This window comes from Homo sapiens, chromosome 10, assembly GCF_000001405.40.
Source record: "Homo sapiens chromosome 10, GRCh38.p14 Primary Assembly".
Taxonomy (NCBI): Eukaryota; Metazoa; Chordata; class Mammalia; order Primates; family Hominidae; genus Homo; species Homo sapiens.
In genome coordinates, this window is record NC_000010.11 from 20,427,073 (window position 1) to 20,431,205 (window position 4,133).

Genomic DNA, 4,133 nt, shown 5'->3' on the forward strand with positions numbered 1-4,133 from the left:
GTGCCAAGGTGTTTTTGGTCCAGTGCCAACAACAGTCTAATGGGAGGTGCACCACAAGTACTTCATTGGGGTGACGGCAGTGGGGTCTGTGCTCACAAGTGCATGGCAGTGGTGGCAGGGCTCAGGGTCTGCATGCATGATGCATGCATGACAACATTGGTGTGGCAGTGGCATCCATGTGCTCACGCATGCTGGCAAAGCAGTTGGGGGGAGGCTGTGGGCAAGTGAACATTGGCAAAGCAGTGGGAGGAGGCTGCAGGCAGGTGTGCATTGGTAGGAGCTCATTTGCCAAAGCTCCCTGATGGGTAGGCAAAGTCTACCAGCAAAAGAGCTACGGCAGTGGCCACTGGCACGTGCCCTGGTTGAGCATCTGAGGCTGTGCTGCAAGCAGTTGCAGCCAGGCAGGGACCCTGGGAAAAACCAGCAGATAGCAGGGCACTCAGATTAGACTGGTCCCATCCCAACTGCAAGATAGCCCCTTTCTATACAGGTCTGACACTCAACAAATGCCACAACCACCTACATGAGCATTGCAAGCCTTGGAAGAGTGCTCCACTGCCAGCATTCCTGCGTCAAACCCTCTGGGTTCTATGCAGACCAGAGTCTTGTCCCTGCCACCCCTTCAAGCAGTTCTCCCTTCCAGCTCAAATGTCCATGGTGGCCACTGGGTCTCCTGCAGCTAGGATTCTGGAGGTTTGTGGTGAGAGTGGGCCATTTCACACATATGTAACTCATTCCTTCCCCAAAAGCCACTTGGAGCCAGGAACAAATCCTGGTGCTTGACAACCCTGTGCTGGGACCTCAATTTCCTTCTGTTTCATCCCAGGGTCTGAGTCCTCTCACCATTCAATCTCAAAGTCTGCCTTCCAAAGATCTGCTGAGAGTGTGCTAGTCTTCTTGATGATCTGGTCTCTCAGTGGGAGAAGCTTTTTCCAGATGCATCTTGTCAGTCATATTGGCTCCTTTCCCTATTCTAATTTTAAAATAAGCTAAATATCTGAACAGACATTTTATCAAAGAAGATATACAGATGGCAAATAAGCATATGAAAAGATGTTCAACATCATATATCATTGAAGCATTATGAATTAGAACAACATTGAGATACCGCCATGCACCCATTAGACTGGCTAAAATTCAAAATACTGACATAATCAAATGCTAGTGAAAATACGAAGCAACAGGAATCCGCATTCACTGATGGTAAGAATGCATAATGGCACAGCCACTTTGGAAGATAACCTGGCAGGAGGGAGGAAATAAATGAGAACTCACTGTAGTTTTATTCGATTTTTTTGTAAAATAAAAACTGCTCTAAAAAATAAAATGTATTTTTTTTAAAAAAGAGGCAGTATAAAACTATTCCTGAAACAAAAATCACATAAAGATATACACAAAATAAAAAATAAAAATATAGAAGGAAAGTCTTACCCTTTAGAAGAAATTACAGGGCAAGAAATTAAAAGTGATGTAAAATTGCCAACAGAATTTAAATGTCTGTCAATAAGACAATGACTTTTAAATGGAAAAACAGGCACAGTGAACCCAAGATAAAAAGTTCAGGGACATTCAATTTCATGCTACTTTCTTATCCAATCCCATCAGGACCTCAAAATTACATGATTGTGCTATATATTCTAAAAATTCATTTGTCTCTTTTGAAATAAGCAACATTCATATTCAACTCTAATTGATATTATAGTAATTAGAAGTCTAGGATATTGGCCAACTTAATCTAATTAAAGTTTCTCAGGGAATCATCATCATTATTTTTTAATTGTTGTATGCGACAGAAGTAAAATAACAGATTCATGATTCCACGTTGTAATGATTACTGACATCTTCATTGTATTTGAAGAAATATTACATTTTTGCTACATGGCCAATTGGGAAATGAAAAAGAGAATGATGTAGAATTGCATACAATGATCTAAAGACTCAATGATGAATAGTTATTTATGGATATTGACAATGGCATAGTGTTAAAGCAGCCAAATACACTCCTAACGAATGAGTGTAACACTGCAGAGGAAAATTGGTTTGGTCTTACATGCCAAAGAGTACTATAGTTAGTGTTTTGTTTTTGGAGGGTTCCTTGGATATTAGTAACTATAATTTAGGGGAGTATTAGCCTTGTGGCAACAAAGACTCTTTGTTTGAAGGTCTGATTGCTACTTGGTCATTAAGTATGATGGGATCTTTTCTGTCTAAGATGGATTTTTTTTAGTTGAGTTGTGGATAGTACAAACTGATTCTCAATTAAAACTTGTATGAAATTTGCCATCTTTGAGACCAGCAATACTTCCTGTTTCAAAACACAGCAGAGGCAGCAAACTCAAGTATGTCATGCTAGCCATTTTACTTCCTGGTCTTTCTGTGCTTAGAAGCTTTCATTCTACCACGCAGTAGACAAGATAGAATGTCATCCTGTTGCTGAGCCTACAGGACACAGATACTCTGTCACAGTTTTGCTGAGTAGTCAGTGTCATTTATTGGGCACTTATGTGAGCATCTTCATCTGCTCATCTTGAAATTATTCAAAATCATCTTTACTTGTCCTCCTTTTTCTCACTTTCTGAGAAAATATGTACTGTATATTTCTTTCTCATCTGAATAAGAATCAGGGAAATACAAAAAAAACACCAATGAGATGCTGCATTTTATCCATAGGATTGGCAATAAATTATATTCTGCCAGCATCAAGAGTTGGTGAGGATGTTGATGGGATTAAAAGTTAGTATAAAACTTTGGCAGGGGTGGCCAGTTGTGGATAAAACTCCTTTGGTCTCTTTCAGAGCACACAGTTTTAGGTGGGAAGTGGATGCTGAACTAATGACTGACTGTATTTCCAGCCTTTCTTCCAGCTAAGTGGCCTTGAAACCATAGACGTTTCCTAGGTCATTACGCAACACAGAATGCCCTATTCCCATTAACAGTCACTTCTCATGTTTTTCTTCCTCCTCCCAGGCAAACACTGGTCTATTTTCTGTCTCTATAGACTTACCTATTCTGGGCATTTCTTACAAATGGATTCATATATGTGATCTTTTGTGACTGGCTTCTTTCCATCAGCATAATATCTTCAAAGTTCATTCATGTCATAGTATATGTATCAATACTTTATTCCTTTTTTAGTACTGAATAATATTCTATTGCATATGTATACCATATTGTGTTTATTACAGACATTTGGGTTGTTTCCAATTTTCAGTTATTACGGATAATACTGCTATATGCATTTACAAGTTAGGCCATGTAGCAACTCTATGTTTAACATTTCAAAGAACTGCCAAACTAGTTTTCTAAAGTTCCTGCAACATTTCACATTCCATTGGCAATGCATGAGAGTTTTCAATTTCTCTATATTCTTGTCAACACTTGTTATTGTCCATCTTTTTTATAATAGCCATACTAATCAGTGTAAAGTGGTATCATATTGTGGTTTTAATTTACATTTTTCTAATGAGTAATGATGTTGAGTATCATTCCATGTGTTCATTAGCTATTTCTATATCTTCTGAGATAAATATCTATTCAGATTCTTTGCCCATTTTTATTGTGCTTTTTTTCATTATTGAGTTGTCTGGCTTTCCATATATTCAAGATACAAGTCCTTTATCAGATATGTAGTTTGCAAATATTTTCTCCCAGTCTGAGTTGTCTTTTCACATTCTTGATGGTATTTTTGCAACACAAAATTGTTTAATTTTTATGAAGTCCACACTTATTTTTATTATAAGAATTAATCTTTATCATTAAGATAAATGAATAGCATCATAGTGAACATCAGGCCTGTATGACACAATGACAAAGAAATAGATGAGTTAGCTAAGAATGACAATTTTGACTAACAGTAAAGAAACATTTTCCAGGATAAATTCACTACAGAAAAAAATTTTGGAACAGCTCCTGGGTAACTATCTGGTATAGTCATTTTTTAGTTACTCTTCTGAGAATTCACCAAAGCAATAAAACTTCTCTGGCCATTATAACTTGAAGCACCTACTAGATTTTTCTATTCAGAATTATCTTTACAAAAGGGAACTGTCAGATTACTTATCTGTTAATTAAAGATATTGTAATATTGTGATGTCAATGGTACAGTGGCTTACTATGGTTTGTTCTTCCTTCTA

The 4,133-nt window shown here is 37.5% G+C and overlaps 1 annotated feature.

Moving 5' to 3' along the window:
• Positions 464-964: an enhancer, noted in NCBI's record as "H3K27ac hESC enhancer chr10:20716465-20716965 (GRCh37/hg19 assembly coordinates)". NCBI's record gives its function as "activates a minimal SCP1, AML or CMV promoter by ChIP-STARR-seq in primed H9 embryonic stem cells {active_cell/tissue: H9 hESC(primed)}" and the evidence as "EXISTENCE:reporter gene assay evidence [ECO:0000049][PMID:30033119]".